At 40.7% G+C, this 25,910-nt stretch overlaps 1 protein-coding gene, 1 long non-coding RNA gene and 2 pseudogenes across 51 annotated transcripts in view; 2 read left to right on the forward strand and 2 right to left on the reverse strand.

The window, feature by feature from the left end:
* MYO9A-AS1 (MYO9A antisense RNA 1) overlaps positions 1–1,032 on the forward strand; it is a 64,558-nt gene extending 63,526 nt beyond the window's left edge. Inside the window, exon 3 of the long non-coding RNA XR_001751796.2 lies at positions 783–1,032. This is a non-coding gene — a long non-coding RNA (MYO9A antisense RNA 1). The remainder of the gene's footprint in view (positions 1–782) is intronic.
* MYO9A (myosin IXA) overlaps positions 1–25,910 on the reverse strand; it is a 296,310-nt gene that overhangs the window by 213,442 nt on the left and 56,958 nt on the right. For 39 of the 50 annotated variants that reach the window (XM_047432576.1, XM_047432553.1, XM_047432585.1 and 36 more), the window contains exon 2: positions 9,992–10,902. In XM_047432576.1, coding sequence (XP_047288532.1) covers positions 9,992–10,831 — 840 coding nt within the window. In that variant the 5' untranslated portion in view covers positions 10,832–10,902. Of the gene's footprint in view, positions 1–9,991; positions 10,903–25,826; positions 25,872–25,910 lie in introns of all 50 variants that reach the window. The other 11 variants (XM_047432570.1, XM_047432579.1, XM_047432560.1 and 8 more) reach the window with 1 other exon arrangement.
* On the reverse strand, positions 5,445–6,049 carry EIF5A2P1 (eukaryotic translation initiation factor 5A2 pseudogene 1; annotated as a pseudogene).
* Positions 9,451–9,635, forward strand: RNU2-65P (RNA, U2 small nuclear 65, pseudogene; annotated as a pseudogene).

A 25,910-nucleotide genomic window follows, 5' to 3' on the forward strand; every position in this document is an offset into this window, starting at 1 on the left:
AGGTCGAGGCAGCAGTAAGCTGTGACTGTACCACTGCACTCCAGCCAGGGTGACAGACTGAAACCCGGGCCTCAAAAAAATAAAAAACTTTACATACTATAGGACTCTATGTATATGACATTCTCAAAAACAAAAACAGCTGCAATGGAGAGCAGACAAGTGATTCTGAGTCATGAAAGGATGGCAGGGCAGAGGGTATGAAGATAAGGAGTATCAGAGTTTTATACACAGAGGACTATAAAAGGTAATATTTTAAATTCATAGAATTTTATAATATGATTACTTATTTCAAAAAAACTTAACTCCTCAAAATATTTATTCAAAATATAAGGCACAAAAAAGACAATTTCAGATATACATAGTTGAAAATATTCATCACAAGCTAACCTGCACTAAAAGAAACATTAAAGAAGTCATTTAAGCAGAAGGAAAATTGTATCATATTAAAACATGGATCTATATAAGGAAGGAAGAACAGCAGAAATGGTTGCCCCATGAATAAATACATAAAATATTTTTTAGTACTTAAATCTTTTGAAAAGATCATTGAGAGTGAGATTAGCAAAAATGGCAGAGTAAGGACCTCTAAACATCCTCTCCTTCATAAAAGGCACAAGAATGCTGACAAAAACTGTCAAACTCAAATTTTTAAGAACTCTGGAAATTAACCAAAGGATTGCAAGAACCCTTGGCAGAGGCATTTAATCAAGAAAAAACAGATGAGTCTTGGTTAGGAAAATCAGGCATTTTAACTTGTGCTATTACTACTCCTTTCTCTTTAGCTCCACACTGAAGAGAAAAACCAACATCCTACAATGATGGGGTTTTTTTTAAAGACACCCAAGAAGCCACCTGAAGAATCAGAACAGGGATGGAACTCATCCAAACTCCACTTCCCCGAGAAAATCATCACAATTTGACTTATCTGGCATTTCCCTGGAAAAACTCACACAAAGGGTACTCTTTTTGTGTGTATGTATGTTTTGTTTTGTTTTGTTTTGAGACAAGATCTCGTTCTGTCACCCATGCTGGAGTGCAGTGGTGCTATAACAGCTCACTACAGCCTCCAACCTCCAGGACTTAAGCAATCCTTCCACCTCAGCTTCCTGAGTAGCTGGGACTACACACAGCCATGCACCACCACACCCAGCTAATTTTTGTATTTTTCTGTAGAGATGGTGGGGGAAGGGGGATCTCCCTATGTTGTCCAGGCTGGTCTTGAACTCCTGGGCTCAAGTGATCCACCTACCTGAGCCTCCCAAAGTGCTGGGATTATAAGCATGAGCCACAGTGCCTGCCCCTCATCCTACTTTTTTTTTTGCAACAGGGTCTCACTCTGTCAACCCAGACTGGAGTGCAGTGGTGTCATAAGGACTTTCTTGACCTTACTTGGAAATCACTTGCTTAAAACAGCCTCTTCACACTCCCCACTGCACCCACCCACCATCACTATGTGTGCTTGTCAAAAACAATCAGAAGCAATTGTTTAAACACTATAACTGCTTAAGGTGGCAATAACAGAATGGGGCAAAAAAAAAAAAAAAAAAAAACACCAAACAACTTAAAAGGAAAAGCTGGTGAATAATATGTACAAAGGGGACTCTGAAAACATCTGAAATATTCATGGGCATATGGAAGGCCACGAGCATGCACAGCACTGCACATGCCCAGGATATGTCGATGCTCACAAAACACAGGAGACCTGTGTTTTGAACTTGAGGTTCTTTGTAAGCAGGAAGTAAAAGGTAAGGCAGAGTTGACAACCGCTTGGCTGAGTACTGAAGGGGTGAGTCAACAAACACACAGAACCTCATAGTAAAGACTGGAGGCCTTAACTTCAGGCATTTAAGGAAATCCAAGTCTAATCATAACTAACCACTATAACTGAGTACAGTTTTTGATGATCTCATGCACAAAAATATAGACTTTACAAAATTAGTTCAAAGAAGTCATGAAACAACCAAATAACGGTAAGAAAACAACCACAAACCTTGGGAAAATCTCATTTTGAGGTGCCACATCATTATTATTATTTAAAAATGTCTAGTTTTCACCAAAAAATTAAGAGACATGCAAAAAAGTACAAAAGTATGGGCATGGGAAAATGAAAAATAGCACTAAACAGCAACCGTTCCTGATAATGCCCAGATGCTGGACTTACTAGGCAAAGACTATCAGCTTTTTTTTTTTTTTTTTCTCTGAGACAGGGTCTCACTCTATCACTCAGGCTGGAGTGCAGTGGCACCATCACAGCTCAGTGGAGCCTCAACTTCCTGAGCTCAAGCCATCCTCCCATCTCAGCCTTCCAACAGTAGCTGGGACTACAGGTGCATACCAACACATCCAGCTAATTTTCTTTTCCATTTTTTTGTAGAGACAGGGTCTCACCCATGTTGCCTAGGCTGGTCCTGAACTCCTGGGCTCAAGTGATCCACTCTCCTTGGCCTCCCAAAGTGCTGGGATTACAGGCATGAGCCACCACACCTGGCCAAAATACAGAACTCTTAAATGCACAAAATATATCCACCACGAAAGACCATGTTCTGGGCCATAAGTCTCAATAAATTTAAAAGAGTTGAAGCTATACAACACAGTGTTATTTAACCTGGCCAAAATACAGAATTCTTAAATGCACAAAAAATATCCACCACGAAAGACCATGTTCTGGGCCACAAGTCTCAATAACTTTAAGAGAGTTCAAGTTATACAACACAGTGTTATCTAACCACAAAAGAATTAAATTATAAATCAAGAACAGGGGACAGAATCTCAGAGGACAGGATTGGGGCAGAGCAAGATGTGGAACAGATCCACAGATCCACTGACTGCTCCCCCACACACAAAAAGACACCAATTTAACAACTAACTACACACACACAAAAAGCACCTTCATGACAACCAAAAACCAGTAGGGTAAATGGAAACAGCCATCTTAGACTAAGATGGAAGCCATGTACTGAGAATGGCAGAGCCACAAAGAAGGAGCCCGTGCCCATCACTGTACAATCAACCAGATCAGCCCAAGACTGCTACCATGTGTATTATGACGTGAGAGAAATAAGAGTCTATCTTCTTTAATCCCTTATTGTTTTGACCTTTGTTACAGCAACCTAATGTTTGTACAAAAGGGCTTTCATTTCTTACTTCATTCGTTTCTGCATTGTTTGTTTTACAGCATGTATAATTAGTTTAATAACTTAAAATATATACATAATCTATATATATTTACCTATAAGATAGATATAAGTAGATATATATCTATATAAAGGGAGAGTGAAATCCATATTTATCCATATAGTCTATACAGAGGTTAGATAGATACAATGTGCAGTGGGCCAAAGATAGAGACTTTTAGATTTTGGTTTTCTGATACACCAAAATATTTCGAATTATTTATACCTTCCTGAGAATTAAATTCACAAATCTTTATTGAGAATTGGTCATGTGAAAGAAACTAAAGTGACACAAGTATGTCATTGTTTTAGAAAGTACTGTATTCACTCGTGAGTAGCAAATTAATTTCAACAAAATACCATCCATACTTTTCAAGTAATACTGTTAATCTAAAGTTCACTGATTTGAAGTTCCGTTTGTACTTAATTTGGCAAAATCTGTTTTGCTTTATAGTTGTATACAAACTTTAAGGAAAAAAATTTAAATACAGTTTTATATTTGTACATTTTTCAGTGTCTTTAAAATTTTTGTTTATATATATTTATAATAAAATAATTAGGTTTCCAAAAAAAACCAGATAGGATTTAAATATTTACAAACTAAACACAAATCTAAGCAACCCATGGTTCAAAGAAGAAATCAGGCCAGGCACAGTGGCTCATGCCTGTAATCCTAGCACTTTAAGAGGCTGAGGTGGGTGGATCATCTGAGGTCAAGTTCAAGACCAGCCTGGCCTACATGGAGAAACCCCATCTCTACTAAAGACACAAAAATTAGCTGGGTGTGGTGGCGCACACCTATAGTCCCAGCTACTCAAGAGGCTGAGACAGGAGAATCGCTTGATCCCGGCAAGTGGAGGTTGCAGTGAGCTGAGATTGTGCCACTGTACTCCAGCCCAGGCGACAAAGCAAGATTCTGTCTCAAAGAAAAAAAAGGGGGTGGGTGGGATCTGTCTCTGCTGTTCTACGTCCTCCACCTCAGGAGCCCCTGGTGACTTTGTCACAGCCTCCGTTCCTCTGTGATCTCCAGGTCCTGGGAGATGCACAGCTAAGAAGCCAGGACATCCTGGAAGCTGGGAAATAACCCTGAACCTGCAGCAGCAATCTGGTCTCTCCATCACCCTAGGCTTGTGGACCACAAATCACAACCTCATCCACTGCATGGACACAGGAATATGTCAGAACATAGCCCTGCCTGGGCCATCAAGCTCCAAATAGTCATCCAACTAGGAGCCTCGGACAACGGCCACTTTTGCTGGGAGCCCGTAGATAGGCCTCTAGGAAGATCTGACTGCTGTTTTTCCAAAACAGTGCCCCGTCAGCAGGAGGCAGTTAAAATTGGTCTTCATCCTCATCCTTATCCTTATTCTAATGGCACTTAGATGCACTTCTTTAGAGGGGAGAATGAGACAGGCAAGTAACAAAAGGTTCCAGGAGAATCTCCAACTGACCTGCATACCAGGAAGACAGGGTGAAGACTTGTGAAGTCTATGCCATTTGCAGGGGGGAGGAGCCTGGCCTCTCCTGTTTCTGTGTGAAGACTTGGGATCAAATTAGTGAGGTGAACAGCCTGTTAGGAGGACCTCATCTCACTTTCCTGAATTGTTTTTCCTTTTCATTCATTAATTTTACTCCTCACCCTTCTATGTGTCTGCGAGCCTAATCTTTCCTGGTCGTGTGACAAGAACCCAGTATTTTCCGTTTTTTTGAGACGGAGTCTCGCTCTGTTGACCAGACTGGAGTGCAATGGCATGATATTGGCTCACTGCAACCTTTGCCTCCCGAAGAACCCGGTATTTTCTACAACAATATTTTATACATTTCTTTCTACAATGATTATATAATTATGGCTTACCAGCAGGAAACAAAAAAATAAAGAATAAGTCACAAAAAAAGAAATCAAAAGGGAAATTATCAAATGTTTTAAACTAAATAAAAATGAAAACACAATATGTCAGAATTTGTGGGATAGCAGTACAAGCAGTACCTAGGAAAGAATTTACAGCACTAAATAAATATATTAGAAAAGAATGATCTAAAATCAATGACCTCAGAGATCATACTAAAAACTTTAAAAGCTTGTAATTCTAGCACTTTGGGAAGCCAAAGCAGGTGGATCGCTTGAGCCTGGGAGCTCAAGACCAGCCTGGGCAACATGGTAAAACTCCATCTCTACAAAAAATACAAAAATTAGCCAGGTGTGGTGGTACATGCCTATAATCCCACCTATTTGGGAGGCTGAGGTGGGAGAATTGCTTAAGCCAGGGAGGTTGAGGCTCCCATTTATTTGCAGGGTTTTATGGCTACAGCATATTCTTCACTCATTGCACACATGACAGACACCTGTACATCTTCACCTGCGTTGTATTTTCCTTGTATTTATTTGCCTAGTTCACTTTCTGGCAGTTTAAGATCCTCAGGAACTTCATCAGCTTCTGTCGGCAGGGAAAGGCAACTATCTTGAATGCATATCAGTTGATAATCATGTCTCTGAATATTTGGAACATCCACGTTGTGAACAGAAGGACAAATATCTTCTTCTTCTTTTTTTCCCATGAAAACAGCAATTCCAACAAGGTGAACCTTGGCATGACCAAGTTTTCCAGTTTTGGAAGTTAACATCTTCACTATTTTGCATGGTTGTCCTTTGAACATCATGAAGTCACTTTTCCGCAAGGTTGAGCACTGCATAGGGTGAGTGCTGGAAGCCCCAGCATCTCCAGTAGTTAAATCAATTTCGTACACCATGGTGAGCTGGGGAGATGGTAGTTTTTCCGTGGGAACTTTCAGCAGGCAAAGAGCTCCTTTCACCTGCGTACCTGCACAGGTCCCCTACAGCTGCAGAGCCGGTGGCAGCGGTGGCAGCCACAGCAGTTGCCAATAAGGGAATATTATATAAAACTTTATGAGAATAAATATGATAACTTAGATTAAGCAAGTTTCTTGAAAGACACAAACTACCAAAGCTTACTAAAAAAAAAAAAACAGTAATAATAATAATCACATGAATAACTCTATATCTACTTTTAAAATTGAAACCTTGTTTAAAATTCTCCCATAAAAAACACCAGGTCCAGATGGTTTCATTAATGAATTCCAACACTGACAGTAAAAAAAAAAAAAACCAGTTCTACACAACTCTTCCAAAAATACGAGGAGAAAAGACTTCCCAATTCATCCTATGAGACTTGATAATTCTATCAATGCAAAAGATTGAATGCAAAAAAAAAAGACATTAAAGAAAACAATGTTAGGCATGATGGTGCAAGATAGAATGCAAAAAAAAAAAAAAAAAGACATTCAGGAAAACAATGTTAGGCATGATGGTGCATGCCTATAATCTCAACTATTTGGAAGGCTGAAGCAGGAGAACCATTGAAGCCCAGGAGATTGAGACCAGCCTGGGCAACACTGTGGGATCCACTCTCAAAAAAAATTTTTTTAATGAGAAAGAAAACAATGTCCCTCATGATGTAATTCACATTAACAAAGTTTAAAATATAATCATCTCAATAAGACACAGAAATAACACTTGACAGAATGAATTTTGACATCCATTCCTGAAAAAAAGCTCTAAACAAGCTAGGAACAGAAGGGATCAAGCTCAATGTGACAGAGAATTTACAAAAAACCAACAGCTATCATTATAACTTAATGGCTAAAGACTAAATGTTTTCCCCTAAGATCAGAAACGAGACAAGGATGTTGCTTTCAACCACCTCTACTCAACATTATACTGGAGTAGCCAGTGAAATCAAGCAAGAAAAAAAAAAAAAGACATCCAAACTGGAAAGTAAGAAAAACTTTTTATTCACAGACATGACTGACTATATGAAAAATCCAATGGAATCTATAAAAAAGCTGTTGCAGGGGTGGGCAGGTGTGGTGACTCATGCCTGTTATCCCAGCACTTTAGGAGGCCAAGACAGGAGAATCACTTGAGCTCAGGAGTTCAGGACCAGCCCGCCTAGGCAACATAGTGAGACCTCGTCTCTACTAAAAATTAAAAAAAAACACAGCCGAGCACAGCAACACAGGCTGATAGTGCCAGCTACTCAGGAGGCTAACGTGAGAGGATCACTCGAGCCTGGAGATCGAGGCTGCAGTGAGCTATGATGACACCACTACACTCCAGCCTGGGCAATAGAGGGAGACCTTGTCTCAAAAAACAAACAAAAAAAAAAGGTTAATGGCACTAATATTTAAGTCTAGCCAGGTTGCAGAAGATAAGGTCAACGTGTAACTATCAACTGTATATCTATATACTAGCAACAAACAATTGAAAATTGTAGAACACCATTTATAATAACATCCTCAAAAATATTGAGAGATAAATCTTACCAAAGATGTAAAAGACCTGTACACTAATAACTATAAAATACTGCCAAGAGAAATTAAAGAACTTAATAAAAAGTTAAACACATACTTATCATCTGATCTAGTCATTACATTGCTAGATATTTACTGAAGAGAAAAAAATGCATATGTCTACATAAACTTGAATGTAATAGCCAAAAATTAAAAACAACCCATATATCCATCAATGAGTGAACAGATCTAAAAAATTGTGATATCCCATGGAATACTATTACCTTAGCAACAAAAAGGAATGTATTATCGACATATGCAACAACATGGATAAATCTCAAAATAATTATACCAAGTGGGAGAAGCCAAATATAAAAGGGTACATACTATGTGGTTCCATTTATATAAAATGGTAGAAAATGCATACTAATCTACAGTGACAGAAAGCACTTAACTGGTTTCCCATATATGGGTGGGCTGAGAGGAGCGTGAAAGAGGGATTACAAAGAGGTATGAGGAAACTCTGGGGATAATGGATATGTTCTTGACTGTGGTGGTGGTTTCATGGGTATATACATGTCAAAGTTTATCATGTTATACACTTTAAATATACGCAGTTTACTGTATTTCAATTATACCTACAAAATATCTTTTAAAAAGACAACAAAGTAATATTACCTTTTCCTTTCAGGTCTAAAACAAACACTATATTCCCTTTCCTTTTTTTTTTTTTTTTTTAAATTGGCAAGCAAAAACCGCATATATTTATGGTGTATAACATGATGTTTTCATATATGTCTGCAGTGTAGAATGGCAAAATCAACCTACTTAATGTATGCATTACCTCACAATACTTATCATTTTTTGTAATGAGACTAATTAAAATCTTCTCTTGGAAATGTTCACGTATAGGCTGGGGGCGATGGCTCATGCCTGTAATCCCAGCACTTTGGGAAGCCAAGGCAGGTGGATCACCTGAGGTTGGGAGTTCAAGACCAGCCTGACCAACATGGAGAAACCCCTACTCTACTAAAAATACAAAATTAGCTGGGTGTGGTGGCACATGCCTGTAATCCCAGCTACTCAGGAGGCCGAGGCAGGAGAATCCCTTGAACCTGGGAGGCAGAGGCTGCGGTGAGCCGAGACCGCACCATTGCACTCCAGCCTGGCAAGAAGAGCAAAATTGTCTCAAAAAAAAAAAAAAAGAAATTTTCAAGTATATAATGTATTGTTACTTACCACAGTCATCATGAAGTACAATAGATCCCTTGACCTTATTCCTCCTATATAACTAAAAAATTTGTGTCCTACAACCAACATCTCTCCAATCCTCACAGCCTTTAGTAACTACCACTTTGCTCTGTTTCTATGCATTCAACTTTTTCAAATTCCACATATAAGTGAGACTGTGGAGTACTTGTCCTTCTGTATTATCTTTCCTTTTGACATTGGATGGTATTACTTGTAAAACATCCCACAACTAAACATTTTTCCCATATTCTCTACATTATTACAAGTTTCGATGCTAGGCACAGCTGTTAAGCTTGCAGAAATACAAATATATCAGCAAAAATATTTTCACCAACCATCACAATGCAGTTAGACACGACCTGACTCTGCTTTCTCCCCTTATAGGGGGATATACAATGACTACAGTCATCTCTTTCTTTGCATCATTAATGACCCAAAGACATTCTCTTTAAAAAAAAAAAATTACCACTGTCACACTCTTCAATCTTCCACACCACCTTTTTTGCGTTCCCATCTTCCAGGTCCTCTTGGTTACTAAAAATAATGTCTACACTTCTATTTAGTTTTACTTCATCTTCTCACATCTATCAAATATTTTTTAAAGATATGTTTAAGAATAGGAACAGTATTTTTCTTTCTTTTTTTTTAAATTGCTGCTCCTTGTAGAGCAGGGCTACGCTGCAGGCAGTGTGCCCAGAATAGCAAGAACAGTATTTCTATAGCTTCTCAGCCTTTTGGCTAAGATCAAGTACAGTTATGTTTTTATAGTTTAATATCTGAAATGTCTTCTATCCAAAGACAATTTTTTTTTTTTTTGAGATGGATTTTCGCTCTTGTTGCCCAGGCTAGAGTGCAATGGCATGATCTCAGCTCACCACAACCTCTGCCTCCCAGGTTCAAACAATTCTCCTGCCTCAGCCTCCCGAGTAGCTAGGATTACAGGCATGCACCACCACGCCTGGCTAATTTTTTTTGTATTTTTAGTAGAGACAGGTTTCTCCATGTTGGTCAGGCTGGTCTGGAACTCCTGACCTCAGGTGATCCACCCACCTAGGCCTCCCAAAGTGCTGGGATTACAGGCATGAGCCATTGCGCCCAGCCCTAAATGAGTTTTTGGAGCTGGGAGATGGAACAGTATCTTGCTTGATCTACTCCACACATCGACCTGGTATTGCAGTACCTCCAGGAATGGTACACCCCCCCACCTCAAAGGATAAAAATCAAAATTAAAATCAAAAATAAGATTTCTATATATTTACCTCAAGTACTGGTCCAGCTCCAAGAATAATCTGTTCTACTCCACTGGCAAATCCTTTCTGACTGAGAGCAGTAAGGTGGTGAATAAGAAAGTTTGTGCTTTGAGTCTTCCCAGAACCACTCTCTCCTGAAATCACGATGCACTGATTCTTTTTGCGCTGAAGCATGGCATGATAAGCTACATCAGCCACAGCATAAATGTGGGGCTCAAGTTTTCCCAGTTGGTGGTTATCATACATTTTGACATATTTGGGGTTATAAATAGGAAGAAACTTGAATGGGTTAATAACTATTAGAATACTGCCAACATAGGTATAAATTTTTTCATGCTTAAAGCGATTTCGTAGGTTTTCTAAGAGAGTTTTCTCATTCAAATCAGGTAAACTACATAAATCATCAAAGTCTTTCTGTTGAGGCTGTGGAAGAAAACCCCGTTCCATCATCCTGCGACGTTCTTCTGTTACCCGTAGCCATGACTGCAGGCTACCATAATGGATTGATCCATCAAGGTTTTTCTCTCTCAGAAGGAAGCGGTAGTCCTCTCCACTTAAGCGATTTTCCAGAGCCATTCGGGGCCACAGCATCATTCGCTGAACTGGACAATCTGTTGGATTGAGAATCCATTCTTCTCCACCAAATTCCTTTACCTCTGCTAGAACATAACATTTTGTTTTGTCAAGATGAAGTTTGTTTATAAGAGACTCAATCACCTCAGCAGCTGTGGAGTTTTTTCTGGCAGGAATCGGACAGTAGATTGTCCCTTCTGAAATAGCCCCAGGATATATCCGTAATGTATGTTCATTATCTTCAAAGCGTCGTCTTCCTCCATCATTTATATTCATATTGGATCCTGTCCCATCAGCATGGATAGTATATGTTCAAAGTCGTGCAAACCATTTTCTTGGTAAAATAACTGTAACATAAAAGATGCAAAATATTTAGAAGTAAATACACATTGCTTTCTGATGCTCAAGAAAGAAAAGCTTAACAAGCATGTTGATTACATCTTCTAAAACACAAAATACTAACTCTTGTCTTAGCACAGCAACAGTTTCATTGAGACCACATAATATTAAGTTTCACTGTCCAAATCTAGGCACTTTCTAAAATAGTAACTTGCCAAAAAAAACATATATTTCAATGTTTTATTATACAAAAATCCAAAGAGTACAAAGAAAAATTATTTTTCCCCTGCTGTCTCAAATGTTTGTAAGGAACTTGGGATTAGAACCAAGTTCTTTCCTTATACTTAACAAAGACTGGATTAAGACAGAATAACCATGCAAATCTAATTGCCCTGTACCCAAAATTTCTTAAGGATAAAGCAAAAACAAGAAAGCATCCCAACAATGGAGCAAAAATTTTGTAAAATTTGTTAAAAACAGCAAGAAGATAGATAAACATAGAAATTACATAAAACCAAGAAAATGATGAGAGAAACCAACTAAGGAGATAGACATATATTTTCAAGGAATTCTAGGCTCTGACTCACTCCCTCCCACAAGGTGGGAAGGAGAAGGGAGTTTGGCAAGAGTGACAAAAGAATCCTGCCCCTGACTTGCTAGGCAAATTTAACACAATTATACAACTAGGCACCACTACAAATTTTATTCAGCTTCCCTTTTTCCTTCAATGCTACCATTATATCTTTTTACCTAACCTTATTTATTGCATTCCTTACAAGTATTCTGCATTTTCTTCCCATCTTCTCGAACCTCGTATACAGTATATTACACTTCTAGAAGAATGATTTCAACTTTTATACCTCACTGAGAAAATAGTGATTTCCTTCAAATGGCTTCTCCAACTCAAAATTTATTCCTATCTTTACCTCATCTATCTTATTCCATTCCTGTCTTCTACTGAGAAAATATGCCCCACACACTTTCCAGGGCTGATAAAACCTGTTTCTTATCTTCATTAGTTAGTTATATGCCCCCAAAAAACTACTCTCATGTGTCATCAATATTTACCTTATTTATTTCATCCTTTAACATATAAGGATGATGTGCTATTAAAAAAATAATAAGAAGAAATACTTTCAGTTACTTCCTTTTTTTTTTTTTTTTTTTTTGAGACAGGGTCTTGTTCTGTCACCCAGGCTAGAGTACAGCGGCATGATCTTGGCTCACTGCACCCTCCATCACCCGGGCTCAGGTGATCCTCTCACCTCAACCTGGCTGGGACTACAGGTGTGCGCCACCTTGCCTGGCTAATTTTTGTATTTTTAGTAGAGATGGGGTTTCACCATGTTGCCCAGGGTACTATCTATCCTCTCATACTACTACATATTTGTCAAAGTCTTCTAATCAAGAAACTATTTTTTCCTGTTTGCCTAGATGGTCTTTCAAACACAGAGATTAATACAAAACATATAAAAAAAACCCAGCCATATAGGCCAGGAGTGGTGGCTCATATCTGTAATCTCAACACTTTGGGAAGCCAAGGCGGGCGGATCACCTGAGGTCAGGAGTTCGAGATCAGCCTGGCCAACATGGTGAAACCCTGTCTGTACTAAAAATACAAAATTAGCCAGGCATGGTGGCACGTCCCTGTAATCCCAGCTACTCAGGGGCCTGAGGCAGGAGAATCACTTGAACCCGGGAGGCAGAGGTTACAGTGAGCTGAGGTCGCACCCCTACACTCCAGCCTGGGTGACAGAATGAGACTGTCTCAAAAAAAAAAAAAATTAAAAAAGAAATAAACTAGTGAGGAAAGGACAAACTATTCACTGTGGTACTGGTTCAATTGCTAATCTGAGTTGGAGTGAAGAAAATTAACAGTCCTATCTCATAGCATACTGAAAATAGATTCCATCTATGGATCTGTACCTATCAATCTGTTCTGGGCTCTATAGTCTGTTCCATAGGTCTATTTTTCCACCCCTGAACCTCTGTTAATTACTACAGTCCTATAATAAATTTTGGTATCTGAAGGGCACATTACCTTAATGTGTTGTTCTTTACAAATTTTACCTTGGCTATTTACACTACCATAAAAATGTTTAAGTTTGCATGTTTACTATCGTGAAAAAAAACCTTTTCAGATTTTAATACTGCATTGACTTTACAGATTAATATTGGACAGAACTGACATCTAATTGACTCTTCTCATTCATGAACACCATGCTGTTGGCTTTTAAAAATTACAACTATATTTTTCACTTCTAAAGTTTTTGTCATTTTCAAATCCACCTCATCTTTTTTCCGCCGATTTACATTTCAAAATTATTTATACTTAAGGGCTATTACTCCTTTTCTTTTTGAAAACCCTCAGTATGTAATTTAATATTTTTCAGACTAACACTGAAATGTCATCCAGACGGAACTGCTCTTATGGTTATTTCATATCTTCCTTAGCATGAGATGAGTTCATATATTTGAGAATTTAGCTTTACAAGTGCACTTTTGATGGAACTTCTTTTGTTTTTCATACAAACACTTACTGAGAACATGTTTACTACTTTTTTAAGAGAACTACAGTATCATAAATATATTTTTAAAAATTAAAAATTTTGGTATTAAATGATCAATTGATATTCAAATTTCCAAATTTCCTCAGTTATCTCATAAATATTTTTCTTACAGATAGTCTAGCTGGAGATTCTGCTCTGCAATAACAGTGAGGATATACTCTGAGTTACCAGGTTCCTAGTTGTATAGCTATGTTTGCTTTCCTGAATCCCTAAGTGTTTGCTTCATATACGCTATGGCATCTGGCAGCAGTCAGCAGCAAATCTTCTTACAGCCAGGGAGGCTGTGACCTGTACCACTCCAGGAGATGTACTAAGTTAAGGGGTCCCCAACCTCTGGGCCATGGACCAGTGCCAGTCCATGGCCTGTCAGAAACTGGGCCGCACAGCAGAAGATGAGCAGCAGGCAAGTAAGCATTACTGCCTGGGCTCTGCCTCCTGTCAGATCGTCAGCAGCATGAGATTGTCATAGAAGCATTAAGCACTATTGTGAACTGCATATGCAAGGGATCTAAACTGCATGCTCCTTATGAGAATCTAACTAATGCCAGAGAATCTAACTAATCATCTAATACCTGATGATCTGAGGCAGAATAGTTTCATCCCAAAACCATCCCCTACTACCCCATCTGTGGAAAAATTTTCATCTATGAAACCAGTCCCTGGTGCCAAAAAGGTTAAAGACCACTGTACTAAGTAACTACAATCTAATCCCTAAAGTTGTATAATATGGCAGCCCTGGAAGTAAACTTAGAAACATCTTTTTTAACAGGAGTCCTATCTTGGACCACTGTTTCCAACAATAAGCCCAACTCTAATTACACTTCCCCATTACTTCAAAGCAGCCAAAATCACACCTGCTCCTTCCTGAAACAGAAGTGTTTACCTTTTTTGAGTCCTAGTTTTGTCAGTTTGGTTTTATCTTTGTTATTTTATCAATTACTGCTTTGTGGGTTTTTTTGTTTTGTTTTTTTTTTTACAAAAAGGAGGGTTTGTCTCAAAATACCACTCAGAAATCCATCTTGATCACAAGCCAGTCCTTACTAAACAGCTTGGAAAATCTGTACTTGCAAATCCGAGACATGAGCTTTCATCAAAATCATCTGGGGAGCTTTTTCAAAACGTACATTACCAGCCGGGTGCGGTGGCTCACACCTGTAATCCCAGCACTTTGGGAGGCCGAGGCGGATAGATCACGAGGTCAGGAGATCAGGACCATCCTGGCTAACATGGTGAAACCCCATCTCTACTGAAAATACAAAAATTAGCCAGGCATGGTGGTGGGCACCTGCAGCCCCAGCTACTCCGGAGGCTGAGGCAGGAGAATGGCGTGGACCCTGGAGGCAGAGCTTGCAGTGAGCCAAGATCATGCCACTGCACTCCAGCCTGGGTGACAGAGCAAGACTCCGTCTCTAAATAAATAAATAAATAAATAAACAAACAAACAAACAAAATTTTTTTTTAAATGTACATTACCAGGCTCAACAATAGTTATGAGTTGAGGAAATGCAGGTAATTCTGTTATTGCTGGTCCAGAAAATAGTATTTGAAAATCACCATATTCCCAAATATTTGGGAACTCACTTTCTACTCCCTTACCACTCTTCCCACATAGCAAGCTACTTGACAATGCTCCGGAGAAGTCACAAAATTCCACAGAGTTGGTAATCCAAAGGTCTTTCCTCATTCTTCATTTTAACACACCACACTATGGCATGACTAAAGCAGCCAATTTCTAGTTCTTGAAAGTGTACTCACATAGTTATTTTTCTTGTAGTCTTCCTGATAGTCTTGCTCTTTTTCTGACTCACTCCTACAGCTCCTTTTCCATTAACTCACTTTATTTTGTTGTTGTTTTGTTTTGTTTTTGTATTTGTTTTTGTTTTATAGAGCCAGGGTCTGTCTCTGTCATGCAGGCTGGAGTACAATGGCACAATCATGGCTCACTGCAGCCTCAACCTTCTGGACTCAAGTGATCCTCCTGCCTCAGTCTCCCGAGTAGCTGGGACTGTAAGTGCATGCCACCGATGGCAGCAGCGGCCCATCTATAGCGGCCACTGCCATGATACCAGCTGCAGTGGGGGAGGTGCAGCCAGGACTGCGTGCTCCATGGAGGCAGCAGAAGCCAGGAACAGGTGGGAACCCTGCCACCTTCTGAGTTGACAGGGCAGGAGTTTCGTGCTCCCTAGGTGCAGCTGCGGCCACCTGCCCAGGTGGGCTGCAGACCCAGGCATCACTGTGCTCTTGGGGGATGGGAGCAGGCAGGAGCCCCACCCTCCCAGGCACAGCTGCAGCCGCCCAAGCTGCAGCTGCAGACCCAGGCATGTCTGCACTCTCAGAGGCCCAGGAAGGCCCCCCGCCCAGTCCCTGCAGGCTCAGAGGTGTTTGCTCCCACTGCCTGGCCTCTCCTCACTCCCAGCACCCACTCCAATCTCAGAGAAAGGTTGGGTCCGAGACTGGGCACTGTCACAGCCTGGCCAAGTGTGCACACGCTCCAGATAGCACTGATACACCAGCCCCCTGCCACCTTGGCCCCCTCTAAACTTTGGGTGCCTACAAACACTAGAGGGAGGCTGAGGGGGTACTGAGGGCAGCTCAGTACCTGTAGGCACCCCCTGTCACAAACAGCCTGGGCACCATGAACAGCAGGAGGAGGCAGGCAGGCTCCTGGGCAAAAGGAGGCAGGTCCCTGGTGAAACCCCACCTTCAAGCCAGGGAAGGCCTGAAGCCTGGGGACCAGGCTTTCCATTGGCACCCGATGACCAGAGTGGGAACTTGTGGTGCTTTCTCCAGGCTCACCCATGGTTGTCAATGAACCAATCAGTACACACACCCTCCCTGCTGAGACCTATAAAAGCCTGAACTCAGCCAGACTTGGGGAGACAACCACCTGCCAGTTGCAGAGAAAAGGTGCCCACCCCAGGGTCTCCTCTCTGCCGGGAGTTGAGAAGATGATGGGACAACCAGCTGCAGGGAGAAGCTACCCACCCCAGGGTCTCCTCTGCTGAAAGCTGAAGAGATATCCAACTACCAGCTGCAGTGAGGAGCTACCCACTCCACGGTCTCCACTCTGCTGACAGCTGAACACTCATCAGGACACCCGAACACTCATCAGGACACCCTGGCTGCAGAGAGGAGCTACCCACTGCGAGTCTCCTCTGAGCTATTCTATCACTCGATAAAGCTCCCCTTCACCTTGCTCACCTTCCACTTGTCCGTGTACCTCGTTCTTCCTGGGTACAGAACAAGAACTCAGGACCTGCCGAATGGCAGGACTAAAAGAGCTATAACACAAACAGGGCTGAAATACGCCCCTTGTTCGTCCCATTGTAGGCAACAGAAGGAGAGAAGAGAGAAGGAGAAAAGAGCTAAGGCCCTTCATGGAGTCCAGACCTGGGGGCTCCCCAAGCCAGGGCTCTGACACCCTCTTTGGGGCTCTACGGTTCCTGGCATCTTCAAGCTTCCGAGCACCACTGCATTCCCCAGTGCCAGCCATGGAAGCTGCTTGAGGTATGCCTGATCCACAGCCTTGCAAGGAAGCCAGCGCCTATGCCAGCACCCGGAGCTGCCTGCCCCGCTGCAGCCAGCATGCTCGGTTGTGTAGAGTGGCCAAACTCCTCACTCACTCACACACCCTCCTTTGGTAGGTGTGGGATCCAGGCTGGTAGTGCAAGCCAAACACAGCCTGCCATTCAGAGTGATCAGAATAAGCCCAGCAGGCCCAAGAAAAACTCAGGCAGAGGCGCCAGTGGCCACAGACGTTTCCAGCCTGAAAAGTATCACCCCAAGAAGTATCACCCCATAGCAAGATGGAATGCTGCCCAGGCCGGTCCACAAAGCCAAAAACTTTTACTATATGCTCCTTTACAGGAAAATTCTGCTGACGGTTGTTCTAGGGTAGCCACTAAAAAAGACTTTTTTTTAGGCTGGGCCTGGTGGCTCACGCCTATAATCCCAGCACTTTGGGAGGCCAAGGCAGGCGGATCACTTAAGGTCAGGAGATCGAGACCAGCCTGGCCAACATGGTGAAACCCTGTCCCTATTAAAAGTACAAAAAAAAAAATTAGCCAAGCAGGGTGCTGCGTGCCTGTAATCCCAGCTACTCAGGACACTGAGGCAGGAGAATCGCTTGAACTCAGGAGGCGCAGGTTGCAGTAAGCCAAGATCACACCACTGCACTCCAGCCTGGGCAACTGAGTGAGACTCCGTCTCAAAGAAAAAAAAAAAGGTTTTTTAAGTGTAACTTTCCATGTGGCACATATACACCACGGAATACTATGCAGCCATAAAAAAGAATGAGATAATGTCCTTTATAGCAATATGGATGGAGCTGGAGGCCATTATCCTAAGCAAACTAACGCAAGAACAGAAAACCAAACACCACACTTATAAATGGAAGCTAAAAACTGAGTAGACATGAACACAAAGAAGGGAGCAATAGACACAAGAGCCTACTTGAGGGTGAAGGGTGGAAGGAAGGCGAGGATCGAAAAACTACCTATCGGGTACTGCTGTGCTTATTACCTGGGTAACAAAATAATCTGTACACCAAACCCCTGAAACACACAATTTATCTAAAGAACCAACCTGTACATGTACTCCTGAAACTAAAAGTTAAAAATAATTATGTATAACTTTTCAACTAGTAGAGTGAAAAAACAGAATAATGAGTTCAAAAGAAAGCAAGAAAGGAGAAGAGAAAAAAGTCAGAATAGGTAGATCAAATAGAAAACAAATAGTAAAGTTTTAAAGCTAAATACAACAGTAATTATATTATATTACATGTAAATGCTCCAGTTAAAAGACAAAGATGGTCAAAGTTTTAAAATTCAACTATCTGCTGTTTTCAGTAGACACACATCTATAACATAAGGATACAGAATCAGAAAGTATTTTTTTAAAAGGAGAAGAAATACCATGCAAACACTAGCCAAAAGAAAGCTGGTATAATCAAAATAACATCAAGCAAAACAGGAAAATAAAATTGAATTAAACATCTCTTAAGGGTTTTTTTTAGCCCTTCCATACTATTATTTTAGGCTTAGGCCTGAGAGAAAGGTCTCTGGATATCACTGGTATTCTTGAAAAGAAGTACAAAACAGAAAAAGATTACAAGAAGTTAAGGAGGAAGCCACAGAGTGGCAAGTAAGTAGCTAGCAGATGTTGATCGAATCTGCTACAAAGAAAGCAGGAGTAGGGCCAGGCGCAGTGGTTCACATCTGTAATCCCAGCACTCTGGGGGGCCGAGGCGGGCGAATCACAAGGTCAGGAGTTCGAGGCCAGCCTGGCCAAGATGGTGAAACCCCACCTCTACTAAAAATACAAAAATTAGCCAGGCATGGTGGTGTCCGCCTGTAGTACCAGCTGCTTGGGAGGCTGAAGCAGGAGAATCACTTGAACCCAGGAGGCAGACGTTGAAGTGAGTAAAGTGAGTAGAGATCGTGCCACTGCACTCCAGCCTGGAGACACAGCGAGACTCTGTCTCAAAAAAAAAAAAAAAAAAAAAAAAAGCAGGAGTATTGTGAGTGAAATGTTTATTAGTTAGGGGGCTTGGGAACACAACTGTATGATTATAAATAAGATCAAGCAAGGAAGCAGAAACTAAAAACTGAAGAAAAAGAAGGTCTAACTGGTAAGCCAAAGTTCCTTGGTAAGCAAGACTAAATGAGATTAAGGTCAAAGGTGGACAGATGTCTCTCAGAAAGGAAAAAAAAAGGACACTTTTACTGAAAGAATTAAAAAAAAAAAAGATGGGCAGAGAAACAGAATTTGAGATAAGATGTGACGAGACTGTATATCAGCTAATCATTACTAGAAAGAATATAAAAGCCCAAGTTTTACCTATAGCAGATCAACGTCAAGTAAAAGCAAAAGTGGGTGCTGAAAGAAAACATATTTTGTACCATTTCAGTTGAAGAAAATGTAATGGAAGAAATAAATTATCAGGCTGGGCACAGTGGTGCGTGCCCATAGTCATAGCTATTTGAAAGGCTGAGGTGGGAGGACTGCTTGAGCACAGGAGTTCAAGACCAGCCCGGGCAATATACCAAGACCCCATCTCTAAATAAATAAAATGTTAATAGTTGGCAGGCCACATGTAGAATGAAAACCTCTCACCTTATACAAAAATCAACTCAAAATGGATCAAGGACTTAAATCTAAGACCTGAATAAAAATTCTACAAGATAATGTCAGAAAAACCCTCCCAGGCCTTGGCTTAGGCAAAGACTTTATGACCAAGAACCCAAAAGCAAATGCAACAAAAACAAAGATGAATAAATGGGACTTAATTAAAGAGCCTTTGCACAGAAAAAGAAAAAATCAGCAAAAAGACAACCCACAGAGTGTAAGAAAATCTTCACAATGTGTATATCCAATAAAGGACTAATATCCAGAATCTACAAGGAACTCAAACAAATTAGCAAGAAAAAAACAAACAATCCCATCAAAAAGTAGGCTAAGGACATGAATAGACATCTCAAAAGAAGATACACAAAAGGTCAACAAACATGAAAAAATGCTCAACAGCATTAATGATGAGGGAAATGCAAAACAAAATAACAATGTGATACCACCTTACTCCTGCAAGAATGGCCATAAAAAAAATCAAAAAAATAATAGATGCTGGCAGGGATGTGGTGAAAAGAGAACACACTTTGACACTGATGGTAGGAATGTAAAATACATTCACTATATGTAAAATACAACCACTATAAAAAACAGCATGGAGATTCCTTAAAGAACTAAAAGTAGGGCAGGTGCGGTGGCTCACGCCTATAATCCCAGCACTTTAGGAGGCCAAGGCAGGTGGATCACCTGAGGTCAGGAGTTCGAGACCACCCTGACCAACATGGCGAAACCCCATCCCTAATAAAAATGTAAAAATTAGCTGGGCATGGTGGCACGGGCCTGTAGCCCCAACTACTCAGGAGGCTGAGGCACAAGAATCACTTGAACCCGGGAGGCAAAGGTTGTAGTGAGCCCAAATTATGCCACTGTGCTCCAACCTGCACAACAGGGTATCACCCAGTTGCCACTACTGAGTACCTACCCAGAGAAAAAGAAGTCATTTATACAAAAAAAGATACTCCCACAGGCATGTTTATAGCAGCACAATTCACAACTGCAAAAATATAGAACCAGCCCAAATGCCCATCAATCAATGAGTGGATAAAGAAATTGTGGTCAATATACACCATGGAATACTACTCAGCCATAAAAAGGAACAAAATAATGGCATTCACAGTGACCTGGATGGAACTGGAGACCATTAATCTAAGTGAAGTAACTCAGGAATGCAAAACCAAACATCGTATGTTCTCGCTCATAAGCAGGAGCTAAGCTATGAGGATTCAAAGGTGTAAGAATGACACAGTGAACTTTGGGGACTTGGGGGAAAAGGTGGGAGGTGGGTGAGGGATAACAAATTGGGTATAGTGTATACTGCTCAGGCGATGGGTGCACCAAAATCTCAGAAATCACCACTAAAGAACTTACTCAGCTGGGCGCAGTGGCTCACGCCTGTTAATCCCAGTACTTTGGGAGGTCGAGGCAGGCAGATCACCTGAGGTCAGGAGTTCAAGACCAGCCTGGCCAACATGGCAAAACTCCGTCTCTACTAAAAATACAAAAATGGCTGGGCACAGTGGCTCACACCTGTAATCCCTGCACTTTGGGAGGCTGAGGCGGGCGGATCACCTGAGGTCAGAAGTTCAAGACCAGCCTAGCCAACATGGTGAAACGCTGTCTTTACTAAAAGTACAAAAATTAGCCAGGCATGGTGGGTGCCTATAATCCCAGCTACTCAGGAGGCCGAGGCAGGAGAATTGCTTGAACCTGGGAGGCGGAGGTTGCAGTGAGCCGAGATTGCACCACCGTACTCCAGCCTGGGTGACAAGAGCAAGACTCTGTCTCAGGAAAAAAAAAAAATTAGCCAGGTGTGGTGGCACATGCCTGTAATCTCAGCTATTTGGGAGGCTGAGGCAGAATCGCTTGAACCCGGGAGGCGGAGGTTGCAGTGAGCAGAGATCACACCACTGAACTCCAGCCTTGACGAGAGAGCAAGACTCCATCTCAAAAATAAAAATTAAAAATAAAAAAAACTTACTCATGCAACCAAGCATCACTTGTTCCCCAAAAAACTATGAAAATAAAAAATAAAACATAACGTGAATTATTGTATGACACACTAGTATATGTGTATCAGCTTAGCCTGACCAGTAAGTACTCTGTACCTTCTTCAAAATTACTGTTTTCCTTTGAAAAACTATTTCTCCTCCTTGTCATTCCATCTTTGTCATCGAACATAGTTTGAATGAACTGACCTCATTCCCCAGATAAGGGAGAAGAGAGACATTTGCTGTGACCCAGGCCCAGTCAATCAATTTATTTCATTACTCTTAGCCACAGTGGCTGACTACTGAGATTCTGTACTGGAATTTTTGCTGCAACTGTCGGAAAAGAAGCTTTCTTCCCACACCAGGGCCGCTAAGCTAGAAAGATCTAAACCTACAGCTGCTGGCAGCCATATTCCCTGAATGCATAAAAGAAGGCTCTGCAATAAAAGAAAATGAAACTAACACACACAGCAAAATCTTATCAACATATTTGAGCCACTGAATCCAGTTGTGCCTCAAATAAGCTAGACCACTGAAATTCCTTGTTAAGTGTGCCAATCAATTCCCTTTTATTCCCTGAGCCACTCTGAGGTAGGTTTCTGTTCTCTACAATCAAAAGAACCCATTATAATGGGTAGTATTTCAGTGCAATACCCTTTGAGGATACAGGTCGCCCTTGTTATCCAAATTCCTGATTTCAAAAAATCTCACAACCTAAACTCAAGAACCAAATACGTTTGAGTAAACTTCTGGAATTTCCTTCATTATCTTGTTATTTGCTATGCAAACTTTAGGAAACAAACAGATTCAAATAAGGCAGTACCCCCTGACATTCAAATTCACTATCCAAACTGAAGAATTAAGCAAACATGAATAGTGGGAGATAGCTGTAAAGTCAACCATGCAGAAATATGGAAAAGAATTTATAACGTAAAATTTTTAAATCTAGAAAATTGCACATAAAGGTATACATATATTTTAAAATGGGTTAAAACACTGGGCTTTTGGGAAATCTTCACATTTTCCATCTATAGTTATAATCAAAAATAAGTTTGATATACATTACCTAATTTGAGTTGAACAGCAATTCTTAGACAAAAATAAACTATTACCTTTCAAATCAGAAAATCAAGACCTAAAGAGCAAAAAAAACTATGAAAATATACGATAAAGATGACATTTCAAGTCAGCAGAGAAAAAACGATTACTAAATAAATGATGTGGGGATAGCTGACCATAAGAATAAAACAATACACGTAAAGAACTAAGCACATTACTGGCATTTATATAGCAATCAGACAATGCTGTATCTTTTATATAGAAAATTATTTAATATTCTTTTTATTCTCTATCTCAATGTAGACACTTCAAAAGTATATGCTAACAGTATATGCTAACGAGGTAAGAAAGTTGCTGTGGTTTAGCAGGGTGTGGTTCAGAATAGGCCAGCTTATGATGTTATTCACTGGACTGAGTTAGAAGGGACTAATTACAGAGGAAAACTGTGGTGAAGAAAGAAAACAGGGAATAAAGAGTTTCCTTTAAACTAGAAGTTCAGTTAAAGAAATTAAAAAGTACCTAAGGATTTTTAATGCAGTGTTCTGTGCAGTGTTCTGCAGTGTGTTATTAAAATTTACTTTTCAAAATATATACATTAATTTTGTTTTTGCTTTTTTATCAAAAACTTTGATTCTGCTTTAGAAGTTTTACATAAATTAAAATCTTTATCAAATGTTAATATGAAGGGAGGCACAGGATGCAACATATATAGTCAAGTTACCTCTCTGTATATTTAGAAATTACTTTCTCCTCCAAGGTATTTGCAACAGAAAGCTCTGTCTGTCCTGCTTAATAATCAGTAGTACAGGTTGGAATCAAAGTTCCTCTTGGGGAAATGGCAAGTCTTTAGGACAGGCGAGACCCTGTATGAATAGTACCAAAGCATTACTGCATGGTAGAGAACACACTCAATTAAAAATGTTAAGCTATCTGAAAAATAAAATGTGCAAGTCTTCAGGATGGCACAAAACAAAGGTTAATGCTTCTTGGGGCACATTTCTTAGAGGGCTTGCTGAGTGTGTAAATATAATCGACTTTTGTTTGTGTTACATGACTTCTGTGACTTCACTGAAAATCTGCACAATTCAGTTTCAGCTCTGGATTACTTCAGTTGACCTTTGTGAAGGTTTTTATCTGTGTAGAATGGGTGTTTGACTTGTTTTAGCCTATTACGTTTTTATTTTCTTTCACTCTGTATTAAAAGTAAAACTTACTAAAAGAAAAGAGGTTTGTGTTCACATTAAATGGTTTTGGATTGGCTTTTTTTAGTGAGGCTTTCTGAACATTGAGATATCCTGAACTTAGAGCTCTTCAATCCTAAGATTTTCATGAAAAGCCTCTCACTTGAACCCAAACCAGAGTACTCTTACTGCCTCTTTTCTAAATGTTCAGGAAAAGCATCGTCAGTTCAGTCTTTTCAGAATGAGGGAGAAACATTTGCCTGCCTTGTAATAACAAGACTCAGCGCTTATTTTTTTAAACTGCATTTTAAAAATTGGATAGTATAATAACAATAAGGAGTAAGCCACCTTTTATAGGCACCCTGTAGTTTTATAGTTCTTAATCCAAACATTTTATATTTCCTTCTTTTGGAAAAAACCTACATGCTACAAGCCACCATATGCACAGACTATACAGTGAGTTGAGTTGCCTCTCCCACAGTCTTTGAGGCGAATTACAAAAGTCCAGCCATTATCATCTTCCTGAGTTATTATTTTGAACTGATTTTTTTGTACATTTTGGCTGCAGTATTGGTGGTAGAATATACTATAATATGGATCATCTCTACTTCTGTATTTATTTATTTATTACTAGACCTCAACCACAGTCTTCTTTTTCCCCTTCCACTGTCTTCTTTTTCCCCTTCCACCTCTCTTTGCCTGTAAGATGTACTGTATGTAGTCATGCACTTTGTATTAATATATTAGAAATCTACAGATCTGTTTTGTACTTTTTATACTGTTGGATACTTATAATCAAAACTTTTACTAGGGTATTGAATAAATCTAGTCTTATTAGAAAATAAAAAATAAAAATAAAAAATAAATAAAAAATAAAAGAGCCACTGGTGAGGGTAGGAAAGACAGTCTTGAACTGCCAACACCACCCTATCCTCTAGCAGCAGCCATGTTGTCCAGAGACAGAATCTGTGTACCTGTGGGAGAGATAGCACAGAGATTGTGGGACTTTGCATTGAAACTCAGTGCTGCCCCGTCACAGGAGAAAGCAGCACAGGGCAGAATTCAGCCGGCATCTATGGAGGGAGCATTTAGACGAGCCCTAATCAGAGAGGAATTGTCCATCCCAGTGGTTGGAACCTGAGTTCTGGCTAGCCCTACCATGGCAAGCTAAAGTACTCTGGGATCATACATAAACTTAGAAGGCAGTCTAGGCCACTAGGACTTCAATTCCTGGGCAAGTCTTGGTGTTGTGTGCACTTGGAATCAGTGGACTTGAGGTGCACATGACCCAGTGAGACACCAGCTAGGGCAGCCCAAACAGTGCTTGCATTACCCCTCCCCCAGCACCAGGCAGCACAGCTTGTAGCTCCAGGAGAACCTCCTTCTGCTTAAGGAGAGGAAAGAGTCACGTTGTCTTACAACTTGGATATCAGCTCAGCCACAATACAGTAAAGCACCAAGCACAGTCCTGATGCCCCCATTCCAGGCTCTACATCCCAGATAACATTCCTAGACACACCCTGAACCAGAAAGGAACCAGCTGCTATGAAAGGAAAGACCCAGTCCTGGCAGGATTTATCAACTGCTGCCTAAAGGGTCCTTGGACCTTGAAAAAACTTCAGTAGCCAGCAGTGGCCAGGCAGTACTCGCCATGGGCCTTGGGAGAGACCCAGTACCATGCTAACTTCAGATGTAACCCAGTGCACTCCCAGCTGTGGTGGCCACCGTGAGAGACTCCTTCTGCCTGAGAAAGGAGAGAGAAGAGCAAAAATGACTTTGCCTTGCAACTTGGGTATCAACTCAGCTACAGTAAAATAAAGTACTAAGCAAACTCTTAAAGTCCCTGATTTTAGGCCTTAGCTCATGGACAGCATTTCCAGACCCACCCTGGGCCAGAAGGGAACCCATTGCTCTGAAGAGAGACCCAAGCCTGGCAGGATTCACCACAAGCTGGCTCAACAGCCTTCAGGCCTTGAAAAAACATCAGTGGTAAGTAGGCAGTACTCACCACAGGCCTGGGGAGGTGGTAGCCACAGGGAGAGACTCCTTCTGCCTACGGAAAGAAGAGGAAAGAGTAAAAAGGACTCTGTCC

The sequence above is a fragment of the Homo sapiens genome, chromosome 15 (genome assembly GCF_000001405.40).
Source record: "Homo sapiens chromosome 15, GRCh38.p14 Primary Assembly".
Classification (NCBI taxonomy): Eukaryota; Metazoa; Chordata; class Mammalia; order Primates; family Hominidae; genus Homo; species Homo sapiens.